General features: G+C 36.8%; 1 protein-coding gene and 1 long non-coding RNA gene across 18 annotated transcripts in view, besides 1 other annotated feature; one reads left to right on the top strand and one right to left on the bottom strand.

Moving 5' to 3' along the window:
- The window catches only part of FER (FER tyrosine kinase), a 448,945-nt gene that overhangs the window by 12,056 nt on the left and 414,402 nt on the right, over positions 1–22,487 (bottom strand). For 16 of the 17 annotated variants that reach the window (NR_146155.2, NM_005246.4, XM_011543269.3 and 13 more), the window contains one exon: positions 3,885–4,039. Coding sequence is in view for 15 of the 17 variants with exons in the window: in NM_005246.4 (NP_005237.2) it covers positions 3,885–4,039 (155 nt within the window). In the remaining 2 variants the exon portion in view is untranslated. Of the gene's footprint in view, positions 1–3,884; positions 4,040–22,487 lie in introns of those variants that run through there. The other variant, XR_007058589.1, reaches the window with a different exon arrangement.
- LOC124901040 (uncharacterized) lies at positions 4,033–22,079 on the top strand. Its single transcript, XR_007058897.1, has 2 exons — positions 4,033–17,957; positions 21,086–22,079. It is a non-coding gene; the product is annotated as an uncharacterized LOC124901040 (long non-coding RNA).
- Positions 13,717–14,272: an enhancer, noted in NCBI's record as "NANOG hESC enhancer chr5:108506215-108506770 (GRCh37/hg19 assembly coordinates)". NCBI's record gives its function as "activates a minimal SCP1, AML or CMV promoter by ChIP-STARR-seq in primed H9 embryonic stem cells {active_cell/tissue: H9 hESC(primed)}" and the evidence as "EXISTENCE:reporter gene assay evidence [ECO:0000049][PMID:30033119]".

Here is a 22,487-nt window from a genome sequence, read left to right as displayed (position 1 = left end):
ACTAACTGATTATCAGCTCCAGCTGTGTGAAGTAGCGTCCTTCTTAGTAGATAGATAGTAATTATGGACATTTTTGGGTGGAAGATTAATTTTCTTGTCTGCCTATCATTTCATGCTTGGCATTCAATAATTTAATACTTTTCATGAAAATCATTCTATGGCTACAAGTTAAGACTAATTCTTTAAGAAAATGTAGGTTATACAGACTCATATCTTATTTTGTAAGATAATATCTGGGCAGAGATCAATAAAGACATATTACATATAAAGCAAGATCACATTCTGGAAGTAAAAGCTTATAACCTAGCTCTGAAACCTGGATCTTTGAACCTGGTTTTGTTGGGTAATTTTAACAGACCAAGAGTAACTTACAATTGTATAGCATTTGGCTACTTTTCTATGTCTCACTTGATCTTCATAATACTCTATAGGGAAAAGGTCCTATTGTTCTTATCTTACAAACTGATGGCTTGCCAGGGTCACGCAGCTAATGGCATGGGAAACCTGCTCACTAAAAATTCTGCCTCCCTCCCATTTCACAGTACTTAGTTACATCATGCTAATATAACTAATTAGAGGATATATCAGCCCCAAATACCCAGGTGACAAAAGGAAAATTTCTGTTCAATAATTGATGATAAATAGATGATTTATGATTTCTTAGTTGGAGATCAGTATTCTATTTTCCCCTTATAAAAACAGTACCTTTGGTGACAGCTGTGACTAAGGATGGTAGCAATATATGCCAAACAGGTGTTGAGTATTCTACCATTTTGTATTTTTTTTTAAAGTATATGAGAGAGACACATACAAAAAGATTTCTCAGCCACTTATGAGAAGAGTATGAGACTGTATCAAGAGTATTTTCATCTAGGAAGGAAAATGATCTGGCTAGCAATAGGGCTGGGAAGGCCCTTTAGTATTGCTTGATTTTCTTTTTAAAGCCAAATATACAAAAACAACACTTATGATAACGCAGTGACAACAGGTTTAATTCTATGCCCCACCCCCCACTTTTCTTGAGACAGGGTCTCGCTGTGTTGCCCAGGCTGGCATGTAGTGGCATGATCATGGCTCTGTGGCCCTAAGACAGTTTCAGAGAGGTTCCTTGGACTGGAGGTTTCTTTCATCCACCCCGACCCCATACTACATGGGAGATTTGAGTGTTTCACCTATTCTGAGTGAGACAAGAGTGAAGAAAGAGTATATACTGCTTTCATATATGAAAGAAGTATTGGATTGGGCACGGTAGCTCACGCCTGTAATCCCAGCACCTTGGAAGGCCAAGGCGGGTGGATCACCAGAGGTCAGGAGTTCGAGACCAGCCTGACCAATATGGTAAAACCCTGTCTCTACTAAAAGTACAAAAATTAGCTGGGCGTGGTGGCGGGCACCTGTAGTCCCAGCTACTGGGGAGGCTGAGACAGGAGAATTGCTTGAACCCAGGAGGCAGAGGTTGCCGTGAGCCTAGATCGCGCTGCTGCGCTCCAGCCTGGGCAACAGAGCAAAACTCCATCTCAAAAAAAAAAAAAAAAAACACGCTAGGATTTAGAGTCAATCTTCAGTAACTGTAGTCTGTGGGAACTAAACTTCTCTGGGTTGCTAGGAGAAGGCTTGTAGAGTCTTTCAGGAACTCTCTCATTGGACTGGGTATTAAATACTATAAACGTCTCCTATATCAAAATCTCTCCTTCCTTGTCATCTAAATTGTTCTACGTTTCATAAAATTTACTAAAGTCTACTAAAAAAGTCCCTCACTCTAGATCAAGGATCTTCAGAGACTGGGCGCAATGGCTCATGCCTGCAGTCCCAGCTACTCTGGAGGATGAGGTGGGAGGACTGCTTGAGCCCTGGAGGTTGAGGTTGCAGTGAGCCATGATTATGCCGCCGCACTCCAGCCCGGGTGACAAAGTAAGACCCTGTCTCAATTAAAAAAAATCTTTAGACTTGACTTGTCCTTATTACTTACTTAAAATGCTTTGGGTCTGGCTGTTAGATATATCCAGAATTGAAACTTTAATTTGTAAATACAACACTTTAGTCAGCTTGAAATTCAAAAACTATACCGTGATCAAGAGGCAGAATTTTACTTGGCAAAATTGTTTAAGAGTAAGAGGACTTTTAAAGGCTATATAACACAGAGAATCTGGCAGAGTTAAGAGCAAATTCAAGGACTCCCAAGCCCAGTTACAGCTTCCTTAGTGCTTGAAAATGTTTTGTCATCTAACAAAAACCTTTGTGTAAATATTGAGTATTATAATCTATCTTTTATCCTGTGATCATCCCCCTTAGTAATATAATCTGACCCTAGAGTTAATAACAACAATCACCCCAGAGAGGAATCACTATGGAAAATAGCAGCTCTGCCATTTTTTCTAGATTCTAAGGAATAGTGGAACTGGCTTGCAATCACTAGAAAGCTCATAAGAAAGAACCTCTCTTGCTGACACGCTGAAAGACAAACTAAGGGTGAGGGTTAGCATCTGTGGTAGCTGGGTCAGCCCCAATCAACTTCCAAACCAATTACATTCAAAAGCTTTATCTGGAAAACATTTGGTGGTTCCTCAAAAAGTTAAACATAAAATTACCATATGACTTCTAGTATATACCCAGAATAATTGAAACCTGCCCAAATATACAAAAATGGATAAATAAATGGTTGTATATCCATACAATGGATTATTCAGTCCTAAAAAGGAATGAAGTACTGATACATGATACAAGATGGATGAACCTCAAAAATCTTACGCTAAGTAAAATAAGCCAGACACAAGATATCGCATACCGTATAATTCCATTTGTATGAAATTCCCAGAATAGGTAAATCCACAGAAATAAAAGGCAGATTGGTGGCTACTAGGGGACAACGGAACGGAAGAATGGGAGGAGGATGCTTATTGGTGACAGGGTTTTATTTTGGAGTGATGAAAATGTTTTGAAACTAGAGGTACTGGTTATACAACATTGTGAACTGTACTAAATGCCAATGATTGTTCACTTTAAAGTAATTAATTTTATGGTATGTGAATTTCACCTCAATTTTTTAAAAAAGCTTTCTCTAATTTGGGAATTAAATTAAGGCATTTATAAATGCTTTACAAATTAGTTTCCATAATGAGGTAATTTTTCATTTTAAATCAACAAAGAATCATTTTACATTTTTATTCAAAACATACCATACCCATTCACCAATCCATGGCTCATATGCTGCTTCCCTTAATGAAAATATAATTTCTAATTTTATTTAAAGCACACTTTTTTTTTCTCTTAAATTCTTGAGTTGTCATCCATCTTGTAATGGCCCATTTCATCCCAACCACAGATAATGCAAGTTATATTTATTTCCAATTACAATGACGCATAAAAATTCAAGTGAAAAAAATCCCTGCCGTTTTAAAATGTAATTCCCATCTCCTTCTTTGCTCAAGATTTATATCAGTTCCACAGACTGAGATGCTAAGAAACCATGTCGATTTCAGAGTGAGAAACTAAAGAACTGATTGACTTAATATTTTAGGAACCTAACATCAGATGAGGTTATTGGACCAATTATAAGACATTCGAAAGAAATGGTCCAGAGCCACAACAACGCTTACTCTGTATAATCTATTACAAAGTCATTTTTTTTTGGTATAAAAACTCTTTCTCAGATGTATAGTCATATTTAAAAGTACTTATATCTACCTTTTTAATATAGCAATGTTACATATAGAAATCTGATCAATAATTTCAACAAATTAAAAGTATGAAATTCACTTATTTGTGTTGATCCTCAAATCATTCTAACTTGCATTCTGTGCTACCCCTGTAAATATTGCTTGTGAATGTTTTATGCTGATGCCGTTCATTTTTACCATTAAAAAAAAAATGTGGTCTATTCTTACCATAATTAAGAGCTTCCGGTGCTGTCCATTTAATGGGAATCTGCTTTAAGCCAGAAGATGAATACACTCCACCATCCTCTTGACGAGACATTCCAAAGTCACTGATTTTCAGAACATTATTTTCACCTACCAGGCAGTTTCTTGCAGCAAGGTCCCTAGGTTACAGTAAGACACAGAAAACGCCTATTAAAACAAATTGAAAGCCACTTTCACATTTATGATTTCCACACTTTGCATTTTTACATTTGCAATGTATTTATAATGAGGTTAAGAATGCTTGTGATTTACCAGTCCTCATCTTTTCTGTCATAGGTAAAAAACATCCATGAGAACATATGCATATGGAGTAGGCCACATGCTAGTTTTCTAGGTACCACATATATTTCCATTTAAATAGAAAAACACCGATTCTAGCTTTAAAAGAGAAAATTACAGAGAAGAGGCTAAGCAAAGTTGGCATTATTTCTCCTTTGGCTTTCCTAGAGCAGCATTGTCCAATAAAGTAGCCATCTGCCACATGTGCTGCTGGACACCTGCAATGTGGCTAGTGTGACCAAGAAACTGAATTTTTCATTTTATATACTTTTAGTTACATTAAATAGCTGCATGTGCCTAGTAGATACTGAGTAGACTCTGATAAGACAATTCTTAGGGCTTCCCAAAGGTTGGAAAGTGGCTGAGGTACCAGAGAGTTTGGCAACTCTTTTTCTGCTGCATCTGGCCCTGTCTCTCTCTAGCCCACCTCATCTTGTCCAGTCTCCCTATCATTAATATATCCCATCCATACTGGGCTTCTTTTTGTCCCCAAATGCAGGACGAGTTCCCTAAATGAGGCAAGCTTGTTTGCACTGTATACCCTTTGCACTTAGCTGTTCCGCTTTGCCTCCAGTGTTCTTCCAGTTTTGCATAGCTGGCTCCTCTTCATTCATTCTTAGCCCAAACGCTCTCTCTTCAGAGAGTTCTTTCCTGACCACTCTAATCTTCCAAAGTATTTCTGGTGGGGAGGACATTCAATAACCAAATTCATATACAGCCATCCCTTGGGATCCATGATTGGTTCCAGGACCCCCCCTCAGATACCAAAATCCAAAGATGCTCAAATCCCTGATATAAAATGGTGTAGATTTGCATATGCACATGATCCTATATACTTTAAATCATCTCTAGATTACTTATAATACATAATACATTGTAAATGCTATGTAATAGTTGTTATATTTAGGGAATGATGACAAGGAAGTTTGTATGTTTAGTACAGACACAACTATCCATTTTAAAAAAAAAATCTCTGGATGGTTGAATCCACAGATGTGGAACTTACAGATACAGTCATATACAAAAATAACAAATAACCAAGTGGAGCTTGTCCTAGTAACACAAGGTTGGTTTAACATTTTAAAAGTAATCGATGTTATTCACTAGAGTAACAGAACATAGGAGGGAAAAACTTGATCATTCCAACTGATGCAGAAAAAGCATTGGACAAATATTCAAACCCATTGGTAAAACAATCTAGAAATATTAAGGAATTTATTTAACCTGACAAAGGGCATACACAAAAACTTAAATCCCTAACATTACACACTTAAATGGTGAAAGGCTAAATTTTTTTCTATTGAGGTCAAAGCAAGGATACCTGTTTTCACCACTTCTAGTCAAAGGGTTCTCTTGGAAACAATTTTACTACTTTTCTGATATCTGCCTCTCAATTTTGTGTTTTCTCTTATGTCTTTTTCAATTTGAAAATCTGATGTTTTTTACACAGAATATCTTTGGGAATGTTTATAACAAGAACTAGAATTAATGATTTACAAGGCTGCAAAAATACACAAAGTATTCTTGTAAGCAGCAAACAACTGGAAAATAAATTCCATTTACAGTAGTTCCAATAAGGCAAATATCTAAAAATAAATCTAACAAAAGACAAGTCCTTTATACTACAAAACTTGACTGAAAAAAATCATGTGAATATTAATTAAAAAATATGTGAATATTAATATGGCAATTCTGCCCAAATTAATGTATAGATTTAATGCACTCACAACCAAAATTTCTGGCTGATGTGTTGTAGAACTAGATAAATGGAGTCTAAAATGTATATGGAAATGAGGGGCTCTAAAATAAAGTAATTTTAAGAAAGGTGTACAAAGTTGTAGGACTTACCTAACCTGATTTCAGATCCCACTAGAAAGCTACAGTTCTCAATACAGTTTAGCATTGGTAGAAATGTTTGTAGCTCAATTGAATAGAACAGAGAGGATCTAGAAACAGACCCACATATGTATAGTCAACTAATTTTTTTGGCAGAGGTACAATGGCAATATAGTATGCACCTCCCAACTCTAGTCAGTGGGCCAAATGCCATCATCCTTGGTCGGAATGAGTTTTCAGTCACTGCAACACTTTAGTCGTGTATAGGATTTCACTGTTAGTACTTTCTTCAGAGTAATATCTATGTTTTATAGCTACATACACTTCTGTTGTCATAACTATCTTCATTGCATCACCAGTTTAGAGATTTGTCCTCTGAAATGAGAATCACGGTTCTATGAGAGGCCAATCTAAAACTAATTTAGAGATACCTCAATTCAGTGTAAATAAAATTTCAATAACATTTACAGAAAATGCTACTTCCTTTGGGCTGCATTAAGTTCAAGTGAGTGGAAATGGGATCTTTTTGAGATAATCTATGCATTAAATAAAACCTTAGGCCTTTAGGCCATAAGCAGGCACTGCATACTCAGTTTGCAAATATTCTAATAAGTATTAAAGGAGACAGAAAAAAGGATATGGTGTCTGGGCTAAGAAGCCAACAATCTAATTTGGGAGATAAGGCAATCATACACTTTTCCTCCTTTTCTCTCTATTCTCTTCTTTATTAAGCCTACTATTGCCCAGTTCTGAGTCACACTTTGGGAGACACACTAGTACTCCCAGCCTCTTCACACATAAAAGTGCTAGAGAACAATCAGTGTGAACCTGTGTGTTATAGACTGCAAATCCTACATGAATTCAGAGGTGAGAAATCTCATAATAGGCTGGTGTTGTCATTCACCTGAGGTATCAGAGACAGCTATATCTCACCACATGCAGAGGGATATAACAGCAAATGCTGCTCACTGCCAAAAGGAGATGGAAATGTTCCATTTATGTCTGCCGAGTAATCTTATTTGAAGATTCAAACTTCTGAGTGTGTAACAGAGGTGTCTTACAAGTCATACATAATATGAGACAGGTTAATTAAGGATTAAATAAGAACAGAGAGCAGTTACAGGAATGCCAAGGCCAGCAGGCAATGGAGATGAGTAAATTTTCTTCACTGTCTAGAAAGCACAATGGTGCACGTCTTGTTCTGTGGCTATGTTCACTCTTACAGCAAATCGTACAGTAAGCCAGGAATCACCATGAGGCTGAGCCAGAGTTCTCCTTTGCAATGCTGTTATGTAAAAAAAGTTAGAGAAATTTTTGCTTTTTTTTTTTTGGCATAAAAACTATTCCCACTGGGTCTGGATAATATTGAGCCACAAATAACTACTAGCACTTATGAGGAGAAAACCTCTTTAAGGCCCTGGAGTTTCCTGATTCTGGCTGAAACATGGCATAAAACCAACAACCCAGGGAGTGAGGATTAAATGAAGCATATTTCATTTGCTCTACTATATTCTGATAAAAAGGGGATAATTATTATAAAAATGTATTTATATAGTTAGCTGCAAGCATATTTGGGGGACATTACAGTAGTTAAAAGCACCAACTTTTAAAAATACATGAATTACGTTATTTTCTAATAATTTTTATATCACTTATACACTGATACATGTTCTTTAAAAATTTAAACACAAAAGAATGTGACCAAACGTTTCCCATCAGACTTTGCCAGTTTCATTTGACTCATTGTTATACATTTAGATACATACATTATTATAAAAACTTGTACTACATGTATATATTTGTTTACAAACCTGACTTTAATTGTACATTTCTTGTTCTGACATTTATTCTAATATCATTTGATGTCCTTCAGAAAATGTTAATAATTTCCTCCACACAGGCCAAGTGTACTCCTTGGCAGATTTATTTACTTTTTTTGTTGACAACTGCGAGTATACGGTTCCATTACTTCTTTCCCCTATTATTCTTAGTTGACATATAATAATCGTACATATTTATGGGACAGTGATATTTTGATATGTGTATACAATATGTAATGATCAAATCAGGGTAATGAGCATATCTATCATCTCAAACATTTATCATTTGTGTCATGAACACTGAAATCTTCCCTTCTGCCTTCTTGAGAATATAGAATAAATTAACCTTATTCATTCTACACTGCTACAGAACACCAGAACTCTTTCTATATAGCTATATTTTTGGTATCTACAAACCCAATCTCTTTCCATCCTCCCCACCTCTCTACCCTTCCCAGTCTCCTGTACCTTTCAATTCTGCTCTCTTCCTTCATGAGCTCGATTTTTTTAGCTCCCATATGAGTGAGAACACGCAGTATTTATCTTTCTCTGCCTTACTTATTTTGCTTAACATAATGTACTCCAGGCTCATCCATGTTGCTGCAAATGACGGGATTTCATTCTTTTTAAACAGGTAAATAGTATTCTATCATGTATGTATACACACCACATTTTCTTTGTTGATGGACATTTAGGTTGATTCCTTATCTTAGCTATTGTGAATAGTGCTTTAATAAACATAGGTATCCCTTTGATATACTGGGTTTCTTTCCTTTGGACAAATATGCTGGATCATATGTTCTACTCTTAGTTTTTTTTCTTAAGAAACTTCCCCACTGTTTTCCATAATATATATATTAATTTACATTCTCACCAACAGTGTATAAGAGCTTCCTTTTCTCTGCATCCTTGCCAGCATTTGTTATTTGTTTGTTTGTTTGTTTGTTTTTTGGAGATGGAATCTTGCTCTGTCGCCTGGGCTGGAGTGCAGTGGCACGATCTCGGCTCACTGCAACCTCCATCTCCCACGTTCATGCGATTCTCCCACCTCGGCCTCCCAAAGTGTTGGAATTGCAGGTGTGAGCCACCGCACCTGGCGTTGTCTTTTGATGACAGCCATTCTAACTGGGGTGAAATGGTATCCCACTGTGGTTTTGATTTGCATTTCCATAATGATTAGTGTTGAGCTGTTTGAGTTTCTTGGATATTCTGGATTTTAGTCCCTTGTCAGATGAATAGTTTGCAAATATTTTCTTCCATTCTACAGGTTGTCTCTTCACTATGCTGATTGTTTCCTTTGCTGTGCAGAAGCTTTTAAATTTAATATAGTCCCATTTGTCTATTTTTGTTTTAGTTGCCTGAGCTTTTGAAGTCTTAGCCATAAAACCTTTGCCTAGACCAATGTCCTGAAGCATTTCTCCTATGTTTTCTGAAGTAGTTTTATAGTTTCAGATCTTATTTTAAGTCTTCAATCCTTTTTTATATATGGTAAAAGCATCAACTTTTAAGTATTACATCATTTATTAGCTCTTGGAGGTTTGGAAATTTACTTACTCTTAGCTTTAGTTTTCTCATTTGTGAAATGGGGATAATAATTGTACCTACAACATGAGGTTTTTGTGAGAATTAAATGAAATATATAAACCACTTAAACAGAAAGTAGTCAGTGTCAATAAATGTTAGTCACACACACATACAAAACTGTACGTTCATCATAGGAAGACTTGAATTTAGCCTCAGAAACAATGCATCGGGGAATCTGCCTCTTTTCCCTTTCTAATTAGATTCAACTAAATTTGACAATTTTCTCTTCACATGAATATAAAAGACACTCAGTTTAGTTCTCCTAAAACCAACTTAAATAGTATTTACTATATGCTGGGTACTATTTGAAGCACTTTTTATACGTTAAGTCACTCAGAAATTACTGTACTTATGATCTCCATTCCTATAGATGATAAAACTGAAGCCCAGGAAGCTAATCAACTTGCCCAAGGTCACAAAGCCCGTAAGCGGAGGAAAGCAGAAATTGAATCCCAGCAGCGCAGCTCCAGAGTCTGTAATTTTAGCCACCTACTATGCTTCTCAATTTAGCTAATAATTCTCTTTCAGAATGTAATCAAATGACACACACCTTAACCCATGGCCAATGGCTATAACTTTTGAACTTTAAATAAGAGCCAAAATGGATGACCTTTAGGAAAGGAAGTGACACTTCAGACTCCCTCCCTGCCCCCTAAAAAACAACAAAACAACCTACATAATACACATATAAAAATCTGTTTTCTAATGAAGCAGCCAAATGTCACCAACGGCTTTGAAACAATATGAGTGTCCTGATGAAGGACAGTAGGATTGCCTGTTTCTGGCAAAATTTTGCACACAGTAACAGAAGTGGAACCATAAACTGTCTCTTAGAGCACACCAAGAAACTGAGGTTGGGCAAGGTGGGGTGTCTTTGGCAATAGAGGTGGTATGTTGAGCCCTTTTTTAAAAAACAAAAACAAAAACAAGGCAATACCATAGCCACTATTTAGCTGAAAGTGATGGGATCAGAGATTGACCAAAAAATAAATGGCTAGCCAGCTTCTTCTGCATGTCAGATGTTGCTTATTTCCATTTCAGAATCTACCTTATTTCCTTTGAACAGAATACATAAATATGGAATCTCCCTACATTTCTCATTTCAGTGCACTGCTGATCTCACTGTGTTTTCCACTCATCATACTGTTCCTCACCTCTTCTCTTCCCTTTGCGACCTCCTTTACCGCACTTCATACCTCTCTCTGGCAAGTTCTGTGCCCATTACTAACAGGGCACTTATTTCTAAAAGTGGCCCCAAAGGAAGCCTGCAGCTGTAAATTAGTACCATTATGGAAGCGTGTCTGTTCTCTCTCTTTGAAGAACTGTTCCAGTGCCACAGACTTCTGGGAGGATGAAAACAGAAGTCCCGCCTCTTTGAATGCAGCTATCAACTGATGTAGAGTGAGAGCATAATTTGTGCTTTTTTGTTCAGGGTTGGTTCAATGCCCTACAGATATTTATTGTGAGAGCAAATGACTGCTTATTCTTGAAGGATCTCTCCTGCTACCTGTCAGGACGCTCAGAATACAGTCTTCCCATTTACTTAAAGCCACTGTTAAAATGCATGTATGTTACTTGTGGGGGGGGGGGAGGTACATATTATACCACTTACTCATATTTTAGCAGAAATTATTTGAATAGATAATTGAATAGACATCACAGTCTTAAGGGATTAGGAGGACAGGGCTGATATGTTCTGACAGTGGGAAAAAATAAGAGAAAACTGGTTGAGCAGGCCTGGGTGAGGCATGAAGTAGGCTTTTAAGGAATAGTCAATTTGGGCACTGGGAGAATTCTGAAGGTTATGACAGAGCACTGGGTGGGGACAACAATGCAGACATAACTTATAAAAAAATTTGTATAGGGCTAAGCCCTGCTGTATTTATTCTCTATCGGGTTATTTCGTCTCAATAGCAGAGGAAGATCCTACTGGTGGCTTGGATGCCTCAACCATTGAGTCCATTTACTATATTGGAGTAAGATTCCTCTCTCTGGAGAAACAGAGGCCTGTGGTGATTCCCTTCAATGAGGTTGCTGCCTAATGGCTGGAACACAAAACAACCAAGTTGTTGCCTGACACAGCTGACTGAATGGGAATCACTTATGGAAAATACTGCAAGTCATCTGGCTTCCCTTAAAATGGCCATGCTCAGCACAGAGAAGTGCTTGCTGCTTTTGGATCTTTTATCTCATTTCCTTGGGTGAGTTCCCTGTAAGAGAATTCTGGTTGGACATTTACAAGTGCAGATTCCACATATTCTTTTCTTTAGCTTAGAAATCATATTCCTAGATAAAGAAAGAGAACTCATACTAAATATGAATGTTGAGATAACTCGGAACCAAACATATAGTGATAAAGCTTGTCTTAAATTTACCTGAAAAACCCAAGTGGACCTTTCTTTGCATTTAATTACTGTGATTAATCTGGATGGTTTATAGTTTATGAAATGGGTACTAAATTTGTATAGTCAGATATAAATTTCTCTCAGTCAATATTTCTGCTCCCTATCACCTGTGGGCCACATTGTGAAATGAAATACCAAATCTCCAGGCACAAATTTTAAATAAATATTGATCTATTGTTAAACCTCTTAATAAAGATTCTGGTCTAAAGGAACTTGGTGGGGGTACAGATTAAAAACATTTAAGTAAATGTTTTAATCTCTTCAGTTCACAGAAACATATAAAAAATTTTTTTCTTTTTATTTTATTATTATACTTTAAGTTTTAGGGTACATGTGCACAATGTGCAGGTTAGTTACATATGTATACATGTGCCATGCTGGTGTGCTGCACCCAGTAACTCGTCATTTAGCATTAGGTATATCTCCTAATGCTATCCCTCCCCCCTCCCCCCACCCCACAACAGTCCCCAGAGTGTGATGTTCCCCTTCCTGTGTCCATGTGTTCTCATTGTTCAATTCCCACCTATGAGTGAGAACATGCAGTGTTTGGTCTTTTGTCCTTGCGATAGTTTACTGACAATGATGATTTCCAGTTTCATCCATGTCCCTAAAAAGGACATGAACTCATCGATTTTTATGGCTGCATAGTATTCCATGGTGTATATGTGCCACATTTTCTTAATCCAGTCTATCATTGTTGGACATTTGGGTTGGTTCCAAGTCTTTGCTATTGTGAATAGTGCCGCAATAAGCATACGTGTGCATGTGTCTTTATAGCAGCATGATTTATAGTCCTTTGGGTATATACCCAGTAATGGGATGGCTGGGTCAAATGGTATTTCTAGTTCTAGATCCCTGAGGAATTGCCACACTGACTTCCACAATGGTTGAACTAGTTTACCTTCCCACCAACAGTGTAAAAGTGTTCCTATTTCTCCACATCCTCTCCAGCACCTGTTGTTTCCTGACTTTTTAATGATTGCCATTCTAACTGGTGTGAGATGGTATCTCACTGTGGTTTTGATTTGCATTTCTCTGATGGCCAGTGATGATGAACATATCAAATTTTACTGGGTAATTTAATAACAAAACTGAGCTCTGTCTTAAGCAAACAAATTAAAGGCCACTAGCTGTCTGAGGCTACAATAAAATGCACTACAAGGACCTGGCTCAGAAGTTAGTCTCAGTATTGATGGCAATAGCGTCTACTCCTAAAAGACTTCTGGAAGAGAGATTTAAAAAACATACACCCGCTCCCATTCTGAGACTATGAAGTGAAAACAGAAGTACTTGCCTGAGTGACAAATAACATAACTTAAAATGTTATACTTGGATGCAATAAGTTACCTGAGCAACAGACAGAAAAAAGTGACAAAACCACTTCTTACTGAATAGCCGTCATGATAATGGCTGTCATTTATTGAGTCCTTTATATGTGCCAGATACCATTTTAAATGTCTTTCATATAACCCATGCTCTTTCAATACTCAACTTCATGCATACTAATCTGTACACTAAATACTTCCACAGATTTTTTCCATAAGCAGTGATACAAACATTTGCATTGTTGGAAGTTCTGGACTAGGGATTAACAGAGTTTTCACCCAGTGTTTTCTTTAATAAGCTGTATAAGCTTATGTGTTCCATATTTTCCTGGACCCTGGAAATGAGAGCACCAGTTCTTGATTTTCTGAGCATGAGGGCTGCTGAATGATGTCGAACAATTTTATGATCCTTTGCACCACACATCAACCCTGATGTCATGTTTTATAATGGCTGACAGCAAAAATACAACATGATGAAAAGCTACTAAGAATTTGACAATGTTTTGAAGTGAATTTACACTCTACTAATCACAACAGTAAAAGAATAGTGCACATAGATAGATATATGCAAGACATTATTCTGTATCAGGTGATGCTGAATAGACACTTGGAACACTTGCAATAATTTGGAGGAACCACGGGTCCATGGTGCACCAGCTGGTGGCTAGCATATGACCCTTTCAACTCTAACGTCCTGTATACTCCAGGTTAAAGGCACTGTCTTCCTGTAACTAGCCAGATGAATCTAGCCTCACAGAGGTGGTAGATGGTCCTGGCAAAGAGCTTTCCATGTTGACAATACAACAGTGGGTGTCAGCAGCTAATGAATGCAAGTCACACTCAGAGGGTAAGTTAAAAGATTTCCACTACCCAGGAGCTCAACTATAGCAATGGAAGTATCCTCTAGCTTGCCTTTGCTGAGTAACTGTGGGTTACAACCAAGAAATCACACTTCCCAACCCTGTAAGAATATTGGTAACCATTGATTGACACCTATTATGTGTCAGGCACAATGCTAGGAACTTAACCTATTATCCCTAATCCTAACAATCACACTCAGAGGCATAGATGTCTTTGTATATGGATACAGAAACAGGCTCAGAGATTAAATAACTTGCCCAAGATCACATAGCTGGTAAGTGGCTGAGTATGGAATCTGTTTTGCTCCAAAGCTCTAGTTCTTTGTTTTCCACAGTGTTTAGTGTTCTTTTGGTTTCTTTGAAATACTATTCATTTTATCTTGATAAAAGTTATACTCTTTAATCCCTGAGTAGATAGATTTCTGCCATTTTGTTCCTGGGAACTATTTTCTTTCCCATTTAAGATGAATGAAATAAAGCCCCTGACTTGGCACTTAGGCTATGGAATAAGAATATATTGGGAGGACTAAAATATGCATTTTTTTCTATTCTATTTTCTATAAGGGCATATAACAATTCCTCCATAATCATTTGTTATGGTTTATAATTTCATGAAGTGATATACATAGTCACACTAAGACCTAAATTAAGATATAAAAGGCACATAAAGATACAGAGCAACTGTGTAATCTGTGATGCACAAGGTGCCATAATGAGCCTCAAGAACATTTAAATTTTTATAGTCTGCAAAATGTTCAGCTACTAATGAATAAATACACCCTAATTATAGTGGAATGCACCTAGATTTAGATACTGAATGTTCTGCAGTGGTTAACTCTTTGCAAGATTTTCTTCTTTGTACAAGGGATGCCACTGACTTTGTACTTTACCAAGAGTGCCAATAATGGACTACGTCCCCTAAATTCTCCCAACCAGACACAGCTACATGGTCAGCTTGCACATTTACCTCTGGTTTTCTGACTCCTAGGCCACACTCCTGGGTGGCAAATGGCAAACTCTTCATCTGGCATATCATCACAAAAAGCATTTTTAGAGTAGTTTTGGTCCCAACATACAAAGGGGAAATATATTTATTGTAGCACCAGTATTCTGTTAATGGAAAACAGTTTTCAGTATTTATAGGAATTCAAAAGAAGTAATGACTTTTTTATGTATCTCAGCAGTTCTTTCCTTGCCTCCCATTTACATTCTTTTAAAATGAAATTTTCATTATTCCCATTTCAATTTCTAATGTTGCTTTCTATGTTTATGAAGTAATATCCCAGGTGACTTTATAATAAATTTCCCTTCAGTCCTATGATTGCTCGCAGTGTAGAAAACTGAAATAGAGTCTAAGTTATGAATACAGGTCTATTTTATAATAATTCATTTTTATCTTGAAACAAAGATCTGAAATTCAATTTCTTTTCTGTCTCTATATATTTTCTTTCCATAGTCAGGAAAGCTTTCTTTATCTTTGTTCAATTTAATTCTGCATTATATTTGATAAGACTTTATGGTATTAAGACTTGATTTCATATGCATAGCTACTTTTCTTGTAGCTCTACAAGATAAAGGTTTTTAAAAATATTTACCTAAAATATTCACCCAATGTCCTTCCATGATTGTTATTCATTTTGTGATTCTTTGATGTAATCCACAAAAAATCTGCATTGTGCATTCATGAAGGATTATTTGTCTGAGCAAATATTAACTTTGCATATACATGTGTCCTTTTGGTCTCTTAATGAAATTTGCTTTTACTAACTTGCAGACCACAGTTACATAAAAGTGTCTGAAAGACTCCAGGTGGACAAAATAATTTCTATAAATGTAAAATTTATCATGCCTGAAGGGTTTGGAAGAATTTGGCAAATTTATAGCAATTTCCAAATTACAGGAAGAATAATGTGACAGCTGCTTGACAGCATTCAGCAACAGTGTACAGCAATGTAGGCAAGTGGGTATCATAGGATCTTGGTGAAATTCAATGTGAATTACTTATGTAAGAACTAAGACATAGGATTTTAAAATTCTGTGAAACATCAAATGGTCATTTTAGTGCTGTTAGGTAGTAGGCCTTTTAGATTATTCAAAATATTTTTTATACATGCCAGTTTATGATAAATAATATCTTGAAGAATACAAATGAAGAGGTATGGGGAAGGGGATTCCATGCCCTCTCTGGGTGCACCACCCTCCAGCACCTCCCTCATCTTTAGCTATCTGGAAGCTCTGGAAACACTGTCCTTTTGGGTTTTTATGGAGGCTTCAATACACAGGCATGACTGATTAAACCACTGGTGACCAATTTACTTTCAGCCCTCCTTCACTCCCCAGAGATTGGGGGATGGAGACAAAAGTCCCAACCCTCCAGTCATGCCTTGGTCTTTCTGGTGACTAGGCCCCATCCTGAAGCTCCCTAGGGGTTGCCAGCTGTCAGTCAACTCATTAGCATATAAAAAGACGTCATTTATGCCAGGAAAAGGGGACAAAGACCAATATATATTTCACAATATCACAGTCAACTCCCAGTCTTCTAACGGGATCTGTTACATCCAAAGAATATATGACTTAAAAGATACCGGGACATTACTAGAATTCATTTAGTCATTAATACTGTAATTTGTCCAGTCCATCATATTGTATGAATATGTCTCCTAAAGTGAGGCCACTCAGGTTTGCAGGCTTCCAAAGCAGGAGTGGTCTCAGAAAACATACAGGTTCACTCTTTCAGGCATTTGGTATAATTAAGCTAAGAGACAGTGTCATCTCTTGCTCTGAGCCTCTTTTAAGGTAATATAATATTGGATTTCTCTCATATAATTCATTTGTTCATTTCTTTACCCTCAGCTATTTTTCCTTCTGTTCATTCATACTGAAACTTTTCTACCTTTGGAAGGGACACTAGGTTTGACTACCCTGCTTGTCTAGACTATAGGCAACAATCCTAGTCCACAAGTACCTCCCCCTCAGACCACTCCCATTCAGATAGGGTAAGGTTACACTGGGGCAGAACTAGTAGGCTATTTTTACTATCAAGCAATATAGTTGCATTCATTGTTAACTCCAATTCTGGCAGAAGGCCCTCAGGAATTCTGACATAAGGTTTAAGAACTGTAGTTACAAAGTAATTTGGGTCTACATTTGCAACTACTTTTAAGACCTTGTTATTTTGGCACAAATGGTAATGAATCTGACCTTAAATACACGCCAAAGACAAAATGTAACTTGGACTATAAAAGGTCCAACATATTTGACAATGATGGTGTAGAAAAGAGATGATCATTTCTGGTTATTTGATCTGGGAACTGAATCAGGAAACATTACTAAGTCTCTATTATGCAGATGAATTTGTATGTTCTAGGAACACTGCATTCTATGGTTATTGACTGACATATACACAAAAACCCCTACTATTTTAAAATGGAAAAGACATACTTCCAATTTACTTTGGAGTTTTTGCAAAGTACCATTTCTGTTAATCTTATAATCACAGAATTTAGCCATGTAAAACAGGATATTCATTCATGTATATGTATGTACGTATCAACCAGCTGGCACACCATTCATTTATTGAGATCTTACTCATAACAAGTCCTCTGTTATATACTGCAGATATAGATAAACTAATTCCTTCCCTCAAAGAGTTCAATTCTATAAGAAGAGATAGTTATGCAAACCCATAAATTGCAATATTGAAAATTTCAAGTTTGAAGGTAATGCTGAGAGGTAGGCTCTCACAGGTGTGATATGAAAAATGAAGCCGTAACATTTTGTACTTCTCTACCCTTTTGTATCTAGGCTAACCTAGCAGAATGTGGTAGAAGTGATGGTATGAAGTTCTGGAGTGTAGGCCACAAGAGACCTTGCAGCTTCCAACTTTTGTCTTTCTGGAACATTCCTGATACCATGTAAAGAAGCCCAGGTGAGAAACCATGTCGAATGAGAGGGACTCAATCTACAGCCAGCATAAAGGCCCCAGACATGTAAATGTGAGGGTATGTTATACTCTCCAGCCCTAGTAAGGCTACCAATGACTGAAGCTACAAAAGTGATTCCTGAGTAGAACAGTGGAAAACTATTCAGCTGAGCCCAGCACAAACTGTTGACCCAAACTGACAGAACAATAAGAAATAAACAGTTGTGTGTTAAGACACTATACTTTGAGACACTGTACTATAAGACAAAATACTTTGGGGTGGTATTTTATGAATCAATAGATAACTGGGACAACAGATTGATTAATAGTGCAAATGATAGCTCAACAGTAAGAATGGGCAGACTTGGGGTTAGAGATGGAAGAAAAATGATCACTGTTCAGGGAGGGAGCAGAGCTAATTACTTGCTTCTTTCTCATTCACACCTGATAGAAAGCTGTTGCAGGTGCCTTCTCATTGGGGTAATAATGTCTTCTGTCTTGGCTTCTCATCTTCAACTTTGAACTCATTTTAACCGGCTTGTTATGAGTTACAAACCTAAATTTTCCCTCTTCCAAGCTTTGGTGCACTGACATCTGCCAGGCTATTAAGTCATATCTCTGTTAAAATATACCCCAACAGACAGACAGACAAGATGGAAACCCTATGGCTAGGCTAACATGAGAAAATGAAAAAAAAAAAGAAAATCTCATGGCTAGCAGGATGAGGGGTTGGTCCCAATGTTGTGCCATAAGTTTTCCTGTAATCAAGCAGAAACCAGCTCCTGAGAAGCATTGCTGAAACAACTATAGCTGGAAATTTTCCCAACCAACCCTGATAGACTGCTGGATGCCAGCTGACAACCCCTTTCCCCTGCCTTGTGGTCCTGCCATAACTCCAATTAGACAGAGGACCTGTTTTATAAACATTGTTTATTGATAGACAGCCAGTTTTGGTCAGCTGAAGGCTGCACACAAATTGCCTTTATGTCAAATAAGTGAATTACAGGGCATGAAGAGCCAAGTTCCACCTTACTTTAATACTAAAACGCCACCATAGAATGAACATGGGATGTATGTTACATATGTTTACCACCCACTATGCAAGTGCCTGATTTCCCTCATGAATAGTCATAGATTTTCCCCAACTCTGCTCAATATGTACATAAGACTGAGTCTGTGATATATATGTGTGTATACACACACACACACACACACACACACACACACACACACACACACACCAGTTCCCTCCTCCCACCTGTGTGGTGTGCACTTTATTTCCCTAAAAGTGACCCTTCCCTCATCTGAGGATAGTTCCTCCCTCTGAAAATCATGTTGTCTCCTTTCCTTCCTCTCTGGATCTGATGACCTTTGGTTAACATCTTCTAGGAACTGCTTCTTGGAATACCTCTGGCGCCAGCAAATGCCATACTCCGAGGATTCTACTACTACCACTTTTAGTCTGATATAAAGAGAAGAAAAATTTAAACCTGGCATATTGAAACTATTTAATTTAGAGGCACTCAAATTAGAGCAATAGAGATAATGAGGACCCTGAGTCATCAATAATGATCACCTCTTGTAGGGGTATACCTGGTGTCAGAAAGTAGTAACATGTGATTGACAATTTATAATTGTTTCCATAAACAATTTATTCATTCAAAAAATATATATGTAGCACTTACTATTTGCCAGGCACTGTTCTAGGCAAGGCAGGGAACAACAAAAGACAAGAATTCATGTCCTCATGGAACTTTTATGTTCCTCTGATAGGACCTAGTTAAATAATACATCATCAAATAGCACACATAAAAAAGAATTACTCAAGGATCTATTCCTTATAATGTAAAAAGGGAATCTACAAAAGGGGAAGAGATGGGGAGGAAAAACAGGAGCAAAGAAGTGAGACAATTACGACTACATAATTGTTGATTCATCTGTTTAAAAAATGGAGACAAAATTTTAGATGGCGTCAACATGCTAAGTGGAAGGGAGGAAGTGAAAAGTAAAAATATGCCAAAGTTGCTCTCCTGTTCACATACATGAAAATAAGGATTAGGATGTAAAAGGCAAGACTGTTTAGTATATGCTACCAAACAGAAGGTGTGACAATATTGCTATCAGGAAATGAAATTTGAGGAAAAGGCATCAATTAGAATAAAAGGAACCATATTTCTAAAAGGTGGAATTCATGAAAAAGATATGTTAATGATACTAAATGGCAAATGCAGCAAATATAGTGAAAACAACAAGAATCAAGACACATAGTTAAGAGCAAGAATAAAAGAAACACAATTCAATACAGATATAGACATGATTCAGAAAGGAGCAATGTATAAAACATGTAATAGATGGAATGTCAGCAGTATCAGCACAAATGGAGTAGGCAGCATTAGAAGCAAGTATTAAACAAGGACCAGAGGACCTCCTTCTAAGCAAAGAGCAACTTAGTTAACAATAGTAAAGAAAAATGGAGGCCACCTTGGACTATCTTAATACTATCACTAATGGAAGACAGGGTCATTCAAATTCTATCCATGTGAAAACAATCAGCAATTATGGAGTAACACACTATGCCAGCGTGGGGTCTAATTATTAAAAAGGCACTGATGTCATTTTGGGGAAGTTGTGTCTGCTTCACTGCTCAGCTTATTTGAAGCAAGACTGACGAAGGCCTCTGAAAACACCTTACTGGGAGCAAATGTGACTCTGAGAAAGAATGAGCCAATCCACTAGGACTTTCCAGCTATAATCTCAAACATTATTTTTAAATGTTAACTGGTTTAGGTTTTATGCAGCTTAGGTATTTGGGTGACTGACTACTAATACAACAATAGGCAAAACAACCACTATGCAATAAGGAATTCACTTTATTTTCTGAATGTTTTCATAATCTATTAGCTATAGAATAGACAAATAAACCTCATCAAACTGCCATGAAGTTATTGTCTAAAACCCTATCAGACATCCAGAATAGTGTATTAAGGTTTTCCTTATATTCCAAATCATATTTATGTTAGATGATCAAAGAATACACTAAGTAGCAGAAATGTTTTTAAAAAAATGTTTAGTATTTTATTCAAAAATTTTTAGGCCGGGTGCAGTAGCTCATGCCTGTAATCCCACCACTCTAGGAAGCCGAGGCAGGAGGATCGAGCGCAGGAGTTCAAGACCAGCCTGGGCAACACAGTGGGATCCTGTCTCTAATTTTAAAAAAATGTAAACCACAATGAGATATCACTGCACATACCCACCAGAATGACTAAAACTCAAGACTGACGGTAACAAGTGTTGACAAAGACATGAAGAAATAGCAGCTGTCATACATTGTTGGTGAGAACACAAAGTGGAACAACCACTTTGGAAAACAGTTTTGTAGTTTCTTATAAAGCTAAATGTAATTTTTTTCCATAGAACCCAGCCACTCACCTTCTAGATATTTTCTCAAGAAAAATAACACACTGACACAAAGACTTACATATGACTATTCAGAGCAGCTTTCTTCATAATGGCCCTAAACTGGAAATAACCCACCTGTTTATCAACTGGAGATTGGAAAACAATCTGTAATATATTCATACAATGAAATACTCAGAAATAAAAAAGCATAAACTAACATACGCAATAATATGGACAGATCTGAAAAGCATTATAAGTTACAAAAAAGAAAGCTAGAACAAAACATACTGCATATGTTTTGTTCTAATGAAATGATCTAAATGTCGATCATTTAGACATTAGAGATCATAGCTCGATGTAAATGCAATTTTAGAAACATCTAAGCTACAGTGACAGATGAGTGGTTCCCTAGGGCCAGAGATAGGAAAAGGATACTGACTGCAAAACAGTGTGAGGGAACTTTTGGGGATGATGGAAGTGTGGTAATGATTACATGACATGACTATATGTATTTGGCAAGACTCATCAAACTGTACCTTAAAATTGGTGCATTTTATTGTATTTATAGTGCAATAAAGGTGATTAAAAAAATAGGCACCTTAAGATTCTTACAAATATATAATATGCAAGTCTTGTGTGAATCTGTTATTTTTCCTGAGTAAATATCTATTTGTAACTATATAAAATTATAAAGTTACTGGTGTTACTAATAAAGAACTTGGGATGGCATGTTACTGTGGATTTCTTTACATGGGATTGCAAAACAGGGGCCACACAGTCAAATTTAAGTTAAACTCCAGAAAATAAATGTATTAAAATGCTTCTGAGGATAAGTTAAGTTTTCTGCTTTCTAAAAATTATCTTGGTGGGATTTTTGTTCAGTCATTTCCATAAGACCAGCACCCTTGTGGACCGTATTTGTGAGAGAAAAAGGCTTGCTGGGGAATGTGAGGCTCTAATGTAGCCTTTTCTAATACAAACAGGATCTAGATGGCACTTAGCTTTTCATTTTGGCCTTTATTTTTGGTAACACAGTACAAGTAAAATTCAATAAACTATTTTTGTATTTTAAGATATTATCCCATGGAAAAAATGGCATTTCTATTAATATCCAAATAATGATATGACTGTCTTATG

This window comes from Homo sapiens, chromosome 5, assembly GCF_000001405.40.
Source record: "Homo sapiens chromosome 5, GRCh38.p14 Primary Assembly".
NCBI lineage: Eukaryota > Metazoa > Chordata > Mammalia > Primates > Hominidae > Homo > Homo sapiens.
The sequence above is the reverse complement of the archived record's forward strand: the minus strand, read 5'-3'. Positions and strand labels throughout refer to the sequence as shown.